General features: G+C 40.1%; 1 protein-coding gene across 63 annotated transcripts in view, besides 2 other annotated features; it reads left to right on the forward strand.

Moving 5' to 3' along the window:
• The window catches only part of DTNA (dystrobrevin alpha), a 398,533-nt gene that overhangs the window by 352,421 nt on the left and 31,343 nt on the right, over window positions 1-14,769 (forward strand). For 47 of the 63 annotated variants that reach the window (XM_047437323.1, XM_047437332.1, XM_047437326.1 and 44 more), the window contains 3 exons: window positions 2,564-2,651; window positions 6,099-6,196; window positions 12,553-12,666. In XM_047437323.1, the coding sequence (XP_047293279.1) occupies window positions 2,564-2,651; window positions 6,099-6,196; window positions 12,553-12,666 (300 nt within the window). The remainder of the gene's footprint in view (window positions 1-2,563; window positions 2,652-6,098; window positions 6,197-12,552; window positions 12,667-14,769) is intronic. The other 16 variants (NM_001386762.1, XM_047437319.1, XM_047437328.1 and 13 more) reach the window with 2 other exon arrangements.
• Window positions 1,658-2,463: an enhancer, noted in NCBI's record as "OCT4-NANOG hESC enhancer chr18:32427354-32428159 (GRCh37/hg19 assembly coordinates)". NCBI's record gives its function as "activates a minimal SCP1, AML or CMV promoter by ChIP-STARR-seq in primed H9 embryonic stem cells {active_cell/tissue: H9 hESC(primed)}" and the evidence as "EXISTENCE:reporter gene assay evidence [ECO:0000049][PMID:30033119]".
• Window positions 13,913-14,207: a silencer, noted in NCBI's record as "tiled region #11937; HepG2 Repressive non-DNase unmatched - State 23:Low, and K562 Repressive DNase matched - State 3:PromF". NCBI's record gives its function as "represses a minimal TATA promoter and a strong SV40 promoter by Sharpr-MPRA in HepG2 and K562 cells {active_cell/tissue: HepG2 | K562}" and the evidence as "EXISTENCE:reporter gene assay evidence [ECO:0000049][PMID:27701403]".

The following is a 14,769-nucleotide window of genomic DNA, read 5'->3' on the forward strand; positions in this document are numbered from 1 at the left end:
TATTTTTAACCATTGCAGAATGCAGACATTATTTTATAAAGACAGACATCTGCTTTAAAGCATCAGTTTTCCAGAGATAATTCTGCCTTTGCTATTAAAATTATTTTCTTACTCCAAATCTAAACTTGTGTAATGAATAAAATCTCAATCCACTGGGATTGATACTAAACATTATGTAAGCCGTATATCCTACAATTTTCTGTCTTAAGGGAATGTTTATAACATATCACACATGCTGTATGGGTATCTGTTAAATACTCTTGAACAACTCTCTCTTTTATATCGTTTATATTTAGGTTTCATTTCACGTATTTGTGTCTTCCATTTTGTTTTCGAGATCTTCTAGATCCTTGATACTCAGTGTTGAACCAGTACACTGGACCAATATTATCGACATTTCTTGGAAGCTTGTTAGAAATGCATCTTCTCAGGTCCCACCCTCCCAACCTCCCCTACCCTACCACCACAGAACCAGAAACTGCATTTTCACAAGATCCCTAGGTGATATGCTTACACTTTAAAATTTGAAAAGCACTGCTCTAGATAATTGTCAGATGGTAGATGATATTTTGAAGGGGATGAGGATTACTAATGGATATGAACATGTTATTTAAAAGGCAAAATAATAATAACATTATATTAACTAATATTTTTGAGCACCTCATGTGTTCCAGGCATCACACTCTTTTGATGCTTTTTGCATACATTATCTCATTTGAGCAAAAGGAAAGAGAAGCCTCTTTTTCTGAGGAGGGAGAAATCAGTTGTTAGATAAGGAAATTCAGGAATGTTCTAGTTATTTATTATAGCTCAGAGAAAAGGGCTAAGTCTAGAGTGGAAGTATTCATATTAAAACAGCTATAGCTTATATATGCAAGGGGTGTAGGCTAGAGCAGAGATAATGTAGACAGGAATGTCTTATGAATGACCAGAAAAAAAAAACAAACCTGTTATATAGTGGATTCAGCTAACCAGACAAGAGCTATTTGGAAGTGACATAGCCAAAATGCTGGAAGAACATAATTACTTTCACTCATCTTCTCACTTCAGAACAAAGGTTAAAACACTATGTTTCATGTTTACTCTATTTGTAAATGTACATATAATAGTATGTTACTTTATATGGATCCAAGTGATTGCAATGAATAATTCTTACAACCTTAATATTGGCATAAGAGGGTGTCTTTACAATATGTATTTATGAGTTAATTTCTTTAAGGAAGAGCCGTAAGTATAAGAACTGATGCAGAAGAATATAAGTATGTTTATGAATGAGAGGAACTAGTTTCTGATCTTGATTCTGAACTGATACATACCACAATAACCAATAAGCCAAACTACAACCAACTAGTTTGTTAACAAGATTAGTGCTATTGGTATGTTTCATAGAATTATTTTTAATGGCACCCAAAACTTAGTCTTGAATGGAGCACTTCACAGAATGAAGTTTTCTGAAATATGGAAGAATTAGTAACGCTTCTATTTGCATTAGTTTTTAGGGACTCAGATCATCCTTATTCTAGTATGAACAGTTTCTGTAAATTTATAGGAGGCACTAAAAAATTCCATTAAGGTCATTGGGAGTCACTACTAAAATTCTGTTTCTCTGAAAGTAAATATAAAAGGCAGGTTATAAATAAGTAGTAATATTATAGATGAGACTTGTATTAGTTACCTTATGCTGCATAACAAATTATCCCAAAAGTTAGTAGCTTAAAATAACAAACATTTATCATCTCAGAATTTCTGTAGGTTGAGAATCCAGGTTTGGCTTAGCTAAGTCCCTCTGGTTCAAGGCTTCTGTGAGGTTGCAATCAAGATGTCACTTAAGGCTGTGATCTCATCTGAAGGCTCTACCAGTGGGGATCCATTCACATGGTAATTGGCTTGCTTGGGTTTCTCATCACCTAGGTCTTTCCATAAAGGCTGCTTTATGACCTGACAGCTATTTTCCCACCAAACAGACCAAGAGAGCTAAAGAGAAAACAAGCAAGTCCAAGATGGAAGCCATGGTCTTTTTATAATCTCATCTTGGAAGTGACATTCCATTCCTTCTGCCATATGCTATTCATTAGAAGCAGATTAGTAAGTCTAGCCCATCCTAAAGGGGAGGAAATTACATGAGAATGTAATACCAGCAGGTAGGGATCACTGGACATTGACCACAATGATGTTTTTCTTTCTTCTTGCTTTCCTATTTTCTAACATGTCAATTTTGGACATGTGTTACTTGTGTAAAAAGGAAAGAAAAAATGTTAAAGGCAATAAAAGTAAGAGAAATTCTTCTGATCAGATGTATTGATCAGAATAGTCACCTCTCTGTGAGGCTTTCTTAGTAAGACAATTGAATTGACTGAAGACAGGATTTATTAATGACCTTCCCGACTATATATTAGATCATGTTACAAATTCAAGTCTGAGATTGTTATTCTAACAGGGTTTTGTGTAGTTTGCAAATCTTTTGCACCAAAACATTGAAATAGTAAAAACTCCTTGTGGTAAAATGACTGCAGCAATCTTTCTCAGTTGCCTAACGGTCTCCTTCTTGCTTTGTTCTTAATAGCATGCTTGAGAGTTCAAACCGGCTTGATGAAGAACACAGGCTAATTGCCAGGTATGCGGCAAGGCTGGCAGCAGAGTCCTCTTCGTCTGTAAGTAGTTGGAGTAAAAGGATTCGTCTGTTGGCATCTGGGATCCTTGAATTTTATATGTCATGTTTATTGTTATTATAGCTGGTGCTGATTACCAGGACAATTTGTGCTAATTTATTGTGCATGTGTTTGTTGCTAAGTTTGTGGTGTCTTGGTGGTGAATTTACAGTTTAAAAATGGAAGACTTGAGGAACAAAACCATCCACAGTAGTGTGACCCTGGAGTCAAGCTGGAATCCTCGCATCCCCCTTCATTCAGTGTCAACCCCATATGAAGTCCCAAGGAAGGGGGCAAGGACTGGTTGTGATTCCTTTATTTAAAGCAGGTGTGGTTAGTGAAGGCACTAAGTTTAAGGCAGAGTAGTTGCAAGTGACACTTAAAATATACCAGTAGAAATAATAGAGCTATAGCTTTCTCCATTTGTGTCAGTCTCTAAGACAAAAGCAACTGTCAGCTCAACACATTGATTCAGAATTCATCTGTGCTGACTAAGGGTGAGTTGCTATTAGTGCGTCACAAAGGACAAAGAGTGGCAGGGGAGCAAGTGAGGAAGCTGTTGCCTGCACCTCTCACATCAGATGTTGCAGTTATCAGAGCCCTTCATGCTGAGCATTTAACCTAATGATCCCAGATGGGAGCTGCATAATGACCGACTGCATTAGCCCTGGCAGTTGCTCTCTGTGACATCCGTGACTGTAACACTGTTAGAAACTACCATGAGCAAGATGGAGGGGATCCAGGACAGGCTAAAAGTGTACTGTGTGCCCCCAAAATCAGACATGATAAAACAGAGACGTAATTGGAGTATATGAAATTTTAAGGGCCATAAGTAAGGAGCAAACATGTTAAAGAAAATTAAAATATAGAATCAGCTGAGAATACAGGAGAATTAGATTTTAGGACAAGCAACCACTCCAGGAGTCACTTGAAAGTAAAGGCAAAACAAGGTTTTTGGAAAAACCTCTTTTCCAAGTTTTCTTGCCTTTATCCATGCATATACTTCTATAAACAGAGGCTATGGTATACCAAGATATGGGATTAGCAATGTGTGTCCCAGCTCTCCATGACCTCATGCAAAGCAGTGCTTCTTTGAGTTCAGTCTCCTCATCTGTACACAGGTGTAAATATGCTTATTATATATGTCAGTGCTGCCTGTTATTAGCATCCACTGAGATAGTAAAATGTGTGAAAGTACTGCATAAACCAGCAATTACAAAATGGCAGCCTGCAGACCAAATTTGTCCCCCAGAAATGTTTTGTTGAGCCCCACAGTGTTTTCAATTCTTTATTAGATGTCAGGACTTACAAATCAGATGGTTTTCCTTGAAAGTCTGGATTTTCATCTTATCTTAAAAGACTGACCAGATCAGATGCATGTTCCTTCTGACAGCAGGCAGCTGGAGTGGAGGCATTACTCTGCTGCTTCGGACAGGGCAAGTGTGTGGCACTTTGCCACAACCCCTACCCTGGCCCACCTCCGTCACTTGAGTTACTTCCCTGCCCCTTTCAGCATTTGCATTAGTGATCCCTGGCAGACTGCTAAATCTCCATGCACATGTTATTATTTATATGTGTACTAAATTCTCCAGTCTTGTTCCATTTCTTTCTGGAGAACATTAGTAACTTGTGTTCCTTGCCTACTTACACTATATATAATCTTTGTGGATCCATCATAGGAAAGATACCGTCCACACATTAATTCTAGTTCCTTTGTAAATCTCTTCATAACCACATATTAAGAATAGTATGATTAGCTGAGTAAATCATGATTAGTAAGATGACACTTGGTTAGAAAGGAGATAGAACGGTCATTTAGTAAATGGGTCAATGTTTTTCTTTATAATTCCTGATCAATTAATATACATAGCAAAGCAATGACTGAAATTCACAACTGGCTCAGATAAGTTTCTACCATTTATCAATACATAAAGTATATGCCAGAAAAGGAAACTTATGTAATGAAATCAGAAGAAAATCTTGAATCACAAGTCAAAGTTGCCATATGCCAGAATTAGCTACCGAAAGTCATTTAGAATCTAAAATGTAGGACCTCAAAATTTCTTGTTAGCTATATAAGTCATTCTTTGCTGAAAAGAGGTGTAAATTAAAATGCATAGACAGCTTTATAAAAGCAAAACCTTTACAAAACTTAATCTTTCCTACAGTTAGGTTTATGGACATTAAAAAGCAGGACAAGATTCTCTGCATCTGGCTTAGGCAACAGTTGCCATTTTTAAAAGCTTTCCATTCTTCGGTAGAAAGATGAGTTGTGATTTTTAAAAATTTGTTTTTAAAACAATAAAAATTGGTGTGGAGGAATTTCTAAAATGTACTGTAAGGCAAAGAAAGCAAGACATACATAAGTGTACATAATATGACCCCATTTTTGTAAAACAACACCAAATAAATCCTTGACTAAATATACATAAACATACACAAACAGATATATATATATGGCATATGATTAATGATATCTATGTTTATATGAGAATGGAGAAAGCTGTGACTGCATGTATACCAGTCGTTAAAGCTGATTGCATTTCTGAAAATGAGGAGCTGGAGTGGTGAGAAAGTAGAAGGAAATCAAAGAATATACATGAATATGTGAATTCATCAATCTAAAATTACATGTGTGAATAAAGAAAGACATAAAAGTTTGTTGATTAGAAGAATCAGAAAAGTAAGTCTTACCAACTATGACTTTAAAACTATATTTTTATTTATTTATTTATTTTTGTGAGATGGAATCTCGCTCTGTCACCCAGGCTGGAATGCAGTGGCATGACCTCAGCTCACTGCAACCTCCACCTCGGGCTCAAGCAATTCTCCTGCCTCAGCCCCCCTAGTAGCTGGTATTACAGGTGTGTGCCACCAGGCCCAACTAATTTTTGAATTTTTAGTAGAGATGGGATTTCCCCATGTTGGCCAGACTGGTCTCAAACTCCTGACCACAAGTGATCCGCCCGCCTCAGCCTCCCAAAGTGCTGGGATTACAGGCGTGAGCCACCATGCCTGGCCTAAAACTATATTTTTAATTGTACATTACAGTAATTGAACGGTAACTCTAGAGAAAGCACCCTCTCAACAGTGCAACATCTTTTAAAGCCACCTATAATGAAAGAATAGGTACAATGGGGACAGTGTGGCAAAAATAAAATCACTTCCCAAAGATTTTCAGTCAGAAAGCTGAAAAATCATTTTTCCTACCTTTTGTGTATTTGCCTGCCAGAGAATTCTGTTCTGCCTTCCACCTCACAGATGTGCTCCAGATCCACAGAAAAGTTGGTCCATAGGAGAAAAATGGCAATTGAATTTTATGTATTTGCTTTCTTTGTTTTGATAGAAATAATTCCCTCCTCCTTGTCTGCATATCTCATGACTCCTGCCTTCCCAAATACATAGGTTCACATTCTCAATATGAAATCTTATAAACTACATATTTTACAGCAGCCACCTCAGCAGAGAAGTGCTCCTGACATCTCTTTCACCATCGATGCGAATAAGCAGCAAAGGCAGCTGATTGCTGAGCTAGAAAACAAGAACAGGTGAGACTTTGTAGACGTGCTGGCTTGTTTGATCAATGTGCGCATTCCTTAATAAACTATGGTCGTGCTTTAAAGTTTCAGGGCTTTACACCCTGTATGGCTACTCAAGGGAAGACATCTACACTCAGTGATGCTCACTTCCAAAAAGCTGGTCTTTAGATCTTTAGAACTTCAGAAGCTCCATGAGAAAACGGCGTGTGCATGTATGTGTATAGTTCTGAGATATCAATGCAATTAATGTTGCCCCTCTAGACGGTCTCACTTCCCTTTTTCTGAGATACTTAATTTTGTTCAAGAGCTTCTAGTACAGGAGGACCCTCCTGGGTACTAGGTAGAAGGTGTCTCTACCACCCAGAAACAGGTAGGAGGCTCACCAGAGAGGCCCCCTGGAAGGACCCTGAGCTAAAGAGGCATCTGGAGAGACACCACCATCACCCAGTTACTCTCCAAACATCCAAAGATCTCCACCTGCAGCCCATCAGCAGGTTCTTCCTCTATTCAACACAGATTGACTCACAGTCTACCTCCACAGCATACACCCCAAAAATTGTCCAGCTCATCTCCACCACCACCCAGTTCAGCCTGTCCTTTTCAAAAACATCAATCTTATGTTATTCCAGGTTTAAACCCTCTAATGTGTTCCCATCACACTTCAGTTAAATCCTACTCCTCTTACCATCACCTGCAAGGTCTTACCTGACCTGATTCCCTCCTGCCATTCCAGCCTCAGCTCACCTTGCTCAGCACACTCCCACCTCCCATGTGTTCCTCCTGTCTACAGCCTTTGAATTAGTCATTCCCTCAGCCTAGAAAGCTCTTCCTCCAGGTCTCTGTGTGGATGGCTCCTTCTCATCACTGGGGTCTCAGCTCAAATATCATCTCCTAAAAGACCACCTGTCTGATCCTACCTAATTGCCCCTAGCCCAGAAACTAGTCTCAATTACATACCCCTGTGTGTGTGTTGGGGGCAGGAGGTTGTCACTTATCACTATCTGAAATAATCATGTGTGTTTGTTTCTTCGTTTATTGTCTGTCTTCCTGGACTGAAACGGAAGTTCTTTGAGAACAGAGGCCATGGCTAAATGGTCCCTGGAGCCCAGAACCAGGCCTGGCAATTGTAGAAGCTCAGTAGATATACATTGAGTGAGAAAACGATGAATAGCTGAGTTAAATCTCAAACTTGGTTCTGAGGAAACCCAACATGGAACAACTTGTACTAGGTCGGTGCAAATGTAATTGTGGTTTTTGCCATTATTTTTAATTACTTTTAATGGCAAAAAAACGCAATTACGTTTGCACCAACCTAACACATTCTAGTAATATATTTCTTGAAACAGCACCAAAACATTTCCATGCTTAACCCCATTCTTAAACACTGATGTGACATTTGAGGTCAAACTGGAGGAGTAAAGGAGGAGGTTGTGATAATTATTTCATGCCTGTAAAATTTGACCTGAGAATTTGGGGATAAATGATCAAAGTATTCTTTAAAGTTCTCAAGAAAGAATAAAAAGGAGGGTGCAAACTCTGGTTGGCACTTTTTCATATTTTTTTCTAGTAAGGAAAGCTTTTGGCTTAGTTGTCTTGAGACCTGGCTGCCATCATTAGGAAACCACAAATTAGGATAGAAATAGCTTCATAAATGTGACACCATGACTCCATCGCCTTTGAAACTACTGCTCTACTCTGACCCCCAGGGAGATGTGCTCACATCAGAGCTGGAATAAAAAAATTTAAAAATAAAATTAAAAAAAAGTTTGTCACATGTGATCCCTGTCAATGTAGCAAATAATAGGAGGAAAGAATTAAGAAGGGAAAGAGCAGATGCATAGTGACGAATTATAAAAAAAAATAGCCATACAAATTGGAATTTGTTCAGGATACTCACAAGTCTGTAAAATTACCTATTCTATTTTATGTATCATTTATTATATCTACTACGTGCAAGTAATTGTGCCAAGTCAGAAAAAAGCATTGAGAGTGGGAGCCAAGTCTTCAAATGAGCAAAGGCACTTTAAAAAGGTAGGAGAAACAACCCAAAAAAAGGAAAAGGGTAGTTGGGGGATGCAAGTAAAAGTGGGGACAGGCAGGCATTGGAGAAAGTGTATGAGCTGAGCTAGCAGGCAGAGGGCTCGAAGCAAACAATGTAAAAGAACCATTGGACTTTGTGGTTCGTGGAATGCTTGTGTGAGTATTGATGACACTGATGACAATGGGGAGTAGGAGAATGGAGGGGCCGTCCTCAAATGTACTGATACTTTACATCAATTCAGGCACTGGAAAGATCATGGCAAGAAAAAGAAGCAAAATAAGCCAGTTTTAAATTATTGACAATTAGACTTAATCCAAAGTTTCAGCTTTTTTGGAACAAAATATTACGGTTGATAACCTCAGCAAATGTCAGAATTGGAATGTAAAGCAGTTTTGTTTTATTTTGGGTTTTATTTTTTTCAGTCCACAAAGTCAACCAATAATATATGGTGGAAAGGTTTATTTAAAATGACTCAGAATTAACAGATGTCAGTAAGTCAGTGAGTGTCCCATAATAAAGGCAACAGAAAGAGCTAAAGAAGAAAGGAGGAAAGGAGTGATAAAAACAATCATTTTATCTGCTGTTGGAAGGCTGTGCCAGCTTGAGGCCTTAATGAACTATGCCAGAGTTGAGGCCATTTTCTGAAGAAGGACCTAACTTTCTATGTAGTCCGTTCATTCGGACTTTCTACCAGACATCATTCCATAATCCCTTCTCCATCCCTTAGTCCCTTTTCTCTAAGACATATTATGATTGCTAACAAGCATGGAGCCATCCATTGGGGAAGGGACCACAGCTGGGATTAATAACATATGCTCACAGGTTCCAGGTGGCAGCAGTAAGAAACCTGGGTTTTTGTTTTGAGGGGTTGAAGTGAGAATAAGGACAACTTTAAAATACATTTAAAGTACATGTGTACAAATATAGTTTCATTTCATCCTCAGAACAACTATTTAAGGTAGGCAGGGTGACTATTATCATCCCCATTCTACAGATGAAAATTTAAATGTGAGGTGTTATTTCTACTCTTTTTCCCCAACATGACCCACTTCACCATCATTGTGGTCTAGGTTGTGTAGGGCAAACTTCATGGGGAAGGTGAGTTTTTAGGACATTTCAGGACAGTGAAATTTTGCAGTGAAAGTTGGGAGATAGAATTAAAGGTAAAAATACACATAGACTTTGAGAAAAGCAACAAGACACTTGCCAGGCTAGCACTGAGGAATCAAAGAATAAAATGAAAACATCAGTATATGAGGCTTGTATACCAGACCAAAGAATTTTAATTCTATCCTGTTATGATGGACAGCAGTGGTCAGGCAAGTGACAGAATGTCCGCATGTTTATGGCAAAATAATCAGCTCACTAAATATGCAGGTTGCATTTACAAGGGATTGACTAGAAGCTGGTGGGAAGTGATGAGGAACTATGTTAGATAGATGGTTCCAGAAATAAAAATAAAGGAACCCAAAAAGGAGATGATTAGACAAAAGGCAAAATAGTGCTGAAATGTTAATTTACAAGATTCTATTACTCATTTCTGAACTTTCCATTAGGGATTCCAGATTTTCCAACAACAACCTTCACACAACTCAGATTTTACTAGCAATCCTCTTTTCTTTCACTCTCTTGTTCTTTCCTTCCTCCTATCCATCTGTCCCGATATAAAGAGAAGGGATAAAACATCAAGGTCAAAGGGGGCTTTGTGGAATATCAAAAGGAGGTCAACCCTGACCAGAGTTTCCACAAGCTGCAGCATCACGCCTCCATCCCTTCTTAGAAAGAAAAGACTAACAGAAATTCACAAGCCCACGAATATTTTATCTTGGTTGCACTGTTAATTAACCTACTCTTCCACTTCTTCAGAGCACTTTGTTTTCCCTTCCAATACTCTGCTTCCACTCGGGCATGGGGGTAACACATTTGAGGGGAAAGCAGGACTTCTTTTGAGGAAATACCCCAGAGATATCTGCCTCCATGTGGTTCTGTCTATTTCTGATTCCAGAATCAGCATGAAGCACCATGAAGGCCCCAACAACCCTGGCCATGCCTTAATATCACTCTTGCTGCTTGTTTCCTGGATGTTTTTGGATCGCACTCTCTAAATGCATGTCTTTAAGGACTAGAGAGGAAAAAAGAAATAGGAGTGAGAAGAGATGGCGGAAAGAGAGATTCATTCTGTCCCTGAGTTCTTTTGTGGGTTCTAGAGCTCCCCAACCCATCTCTGATGAGCAGCAAGTACATCCTAAGCTCATCTCTCTGAGCCAGCAGCCTGGTTCTCTAGACATCCCAGGGCCAAAAGCTCCTTTAGGTAATACTACTGCACCATGGAAACCCACCCAGGGAACTCATGTCTCTAAGATGACAACTCAATAATCAGATCTGTGAGTTTAAGGGGAAGATAGAGTTCCTCATTTCATTTAATGACTCTGTCTACCCCAGGTAACACACAGACATTTCAGCAATGATCTTTAGAAGGTAATGGTTCCTTATAGCACCTTTGGTGGAGCCAGTCAGGGTTAGTATTAGGAGTACCAGGAATCTTCAAATTATATTGTATGGGTCACAGCCTGTCTTGGCTAGACCTAGCAAAGCAAGTACCAGAAGACTGAGGCAGGCTGATATATGTGGGGTTTGGGGCTAGCCAGCCTGGATTCACATCACGTCTACCACCTACTTGTTATCGAACTTGGGGAAATCTTTCAACTGGTCTGTGCCTGGATTCTCTCATTTAATAAACAGAGATAATAATGGTACCTATATATAATAGAACTGTTATAGAATGAAATAAAATAACATTAAAGAAGTCAGCAGAGTTCCCAGGTACAGACTGACTACTCGATGCACGTTACATATCTCTTCTTTATTTTTTCTTACCAGAGCTGTTGCTCTCTTTTCCTTCCTTGGACCAAATGGCTCTGTTGTGTTTCTGTCTTTAGAATGAACAAAGAGAATAGCAGGAGTCATAGAATATCAGGGTGTTAGCCCTGGAGGAAATCTTGGAAATCCCACTGCACTGATTTTCAGGCTGAGCTTTATGGCATCCTGAGGGCTCTGCAGGGGCACCTGGGAGGGCACAGCAGGGCCCAGCAACACAGGGACTTGTCCTCATTTCTTTAACCCCAGCAGCACCCGACCCCTTAAACTATCTGACATGTTGGGTATCCATGGCATATTTCTTTTAAAGAAAGGATTCCCCGATGGAATCACAAAGAGGAGAAAACAAAAAAAAGACTGAAAACCACTGAATTACAGTTCCATCTTCTCACCACACCCACGAAATGTATAATGGCTTACTAATCATTAGCCTCCTGATTCTGGGGGCTTTGCGAAGCAGGCAGTTTTAAATCAGCCCTCCAAAATGGAAAGCTACTTCCTTGTACACCAAGTTCACCTTCCATTCGCAGTGCTTTGCTCCGTCTTACTGGCTTCTATGCATTTTGTTGAGTAGGAAACTGACACCCCCAGCTCCCAAGAATACATGACTTATAACCCTGCTTAATGGCTTCTGACTCACTTAGGGATAATTTGCCTTGCCAGGTCACATATCCTTTATGGCTAGCCTAATGCTCACCAAATGCAGGGAAGCCCAGGCTCTGACATCAATAGTTGACTGACACATCTCACCCCCGACAGAGGTCACACCAATAGCACTGTATGTCACAGACTCAATTACTGTGAATCTTTTTAAAAGCACTTTCCTTCTAAGGTGGACTTCCCTGAGATCCATTGTTAAGGCTGAGAGATTTAAGAAAAAAAAAAGAGAAAGAATTTTGTCTAACTGGGGTTTTCTCAGATAAATTCAATGAGAAGTCCCTTCTTGGTGAGAGAATGAGGTTACTTAGTTTTGTGAAATGAGCCCCATTTATCCTTATTTTCCCTTCAGGCTCCTCTTACTTGGTAGCTGCAGGTACTTTACGGTGTCAGAGTGTGATCGTAAATAACAGGAAGATGCATTTTTGTCTCTTAAGCAGCATGCTCTTCAAAGTTGGACACATTACCTTACTTGCTAGTAGTAATGCATTACATTACTTGCTAGAGAGATGACTGGACCCTGGTGATTTAACTCAACGACATGCTGCAGAAGCTTCTAGGTTTGGATGTACTGGAAATGAAGTCAATCTTCCCGTCACCCACAGCACCCATCTAGCTATAGTCAAAGCCTCTTAAATACACTGGAATCTGTTGGTTAGGGAAGGTCGGTTCTGCTCCTAAACATAGGATGATCCCTTCTCTCTTTGTTCTGGTGGCCTTGATCTGCTCCGATGTTAGTTTCCTGAAAGCTAACTAACCTTGGTTTCTCACCTTCCTCCTCTCTCCCAAGAGAAATCTTACAGGAGATCCAGAGACTTCGGCTAGAGCATGAACAAGCTTCTCAGCCCACGCCAGAGAAGGCACAGCAAAACCCCACCCTGCTGGCAGAACTCCGGCTCCTCAGGTAGGAGAGAGCACCCATGTCATCTCAGGGAATATATATGTGTCAGATCTTTGAGAAAGTCTAGCAGTGTCTAGCCAGAAAACAGTCCTCAGCTACCTTAGCTGCTGACATTTGTTTTTTTCATAGCACACACGTAATTGCTGATATTTGGGGGATTTAGAGAGAAGCTGTTTATATTTTGTTCTTTCATTTGGTACAGGGAAAAGCAGTGTGTTTCTGTTTTTGTTTTTGAGACAGAGTTTCACTCTTGTTGCCCAGGCTGGAGTGCAATGGCACGATCTCGGTTCACTGCAACCTCTGCCTTCCAGGTACAAGCAATTCTCCTGTCTCAGCCTCCCAAGAGCTAAGATTACAGGCATGCGCCACCACACCTGGCTAATTTTTTTGTATTTAGTAGAGACAGGGTTTCACCATATTAGTCAGACTGGTCGCAAACTCCTGACCTCAGGTGATCCACCCGCCTTGGCCTCCCAAAGTGCTGAGATTACAGGCGTGCGCCACCACACCCGGCCAGCAGTGTTCTTTACATCAAAAACAACATATCTCACTAGGAACAATTTAAACATAGCTCTTTTTAGAAATAATCAGTTAAATAAACATCACAGGTTTTTAAATTTAAAAATTTACCCCTAACTCATAAAAGGAGTCTGATTTTCTCTAAGTCTTGGTCTCTAATATCTTTCTTTATATTCAGATCTTTAAAAATAGGCATCACACCTTCCTGTACTATAAAGGAACATAAAAGCCTAGTCTTCTTTAGTCTGTCATCATAAAATACTTGAGTTAGAAGGGACTATAGAAGTCATCTTGTTACCAGTGAAGGGTCTTGACCACGAAGTTGTCCAGGGTCTTGGCATTTTGAATAAAGAATTGGACAAAACGCACAAACAAAGCAACAAAAGAATGAAGCAACGAAAGCAGATTTATTGAAACGAAAGTACACTCTACAGAGTAGGAGCCAGCTCCCGTAAGCGGTTCAAGAGCCCTAGTTACAGAGTTTTCTGGGGTTTAAATACCCTATGGAGGTTTCCCATTAGTTATTTGGGTACACCCTGTGTAAATGAGGACTTGGCCCAGGACCACTCTGATTGCTTGCAGGAGGCGACCAATCAGAGGCTGAAGTGAAGTTACAAAGTGACATCCTATGCAAACATTTGATTGGTTGCAGGAGGGGACCAATCAGAAGTACTTTCCATTATTCATCTGCCTCACCATACAAAGGGAGTAGCCTCGGATCCTTTTGTTACTTGGGTGTGGAAAGGCGAGGTTTTCCTTTCCATTCAGTTCTAGGAAGTCAGTACAAATCGTCCTTAGTTTCGCTGCCTCCAGTCCCTATTCTCCTGACTCAATCAGATTCTGCCGCTGCATTTCAGTGCACTTCTCAGAGTCAGAAGCTAGGGAGTAGCAGGCCTTGGAAAAGAAATGTGGTTTCTCCTACTACTCCCACGCTGCAAAATGAGTCTTGCTGTGGGCTCCATTTCAGACTAGCTTCTTACCATGCCTTGAATAAGGCTGGTATTCCAGTGTATTTATGTGGCAAACAACACAAAAATAAATTCAAAGACATTCCCTCGTATAAATATCATACTGTTCTTTCACAAGGCACCTGTAGTTGGGAAGTATTACATTCTTTTCTTTTTGTTTTTGTTTGTTTGTTTGTTTGTTTGAGATGGAGTCTCACTCTGTCACCCAGGCTGGAGTGCAGTGGCACGATCTCGGCTCACTGCAACCTCTGCCCCTCCAGGTTAAAGCAATTCTCTGCCTCAGCCTCCGGAGTAGCTGGGATTACAGGCGCGTGCCACCACGCCCGGCTAATTTTTTGTTTTTTTTTTTTTTTTTTTTTTTTTTTTTGGAGAGACGGGGTTTCACCATCTTGGCCAGGCTAGTCTTGAACTCCTGACCTCGTGATCCACCTGCCTCGGCCTCCCAAAGTGCTGGAATTACAGGCGTGAGCCACCGCGCCCAGCCCATTCTTTTCATCTTTCAGTTTGGGTGCCAACTATGTTCCAGGTATATCTATAACTCTGAGTCATACTTTTTATAGTAAGTACAGATGCCTCTTTGCAGAAACCCTTGTCAGAATTAGTCCTGTTTTCTTCTTCC

Source organism: Homo sapiens, chromosome 18 (assembly GCF_000001405.40).
Source record: "Homo sapiens chromosome 18, GRCh38.p14 Primary Assembly".
NCBI lineage: Eukaryota > Metazoa > Chordata > Mammalia > Primates > Hominidae > Homo > Homo sapiens.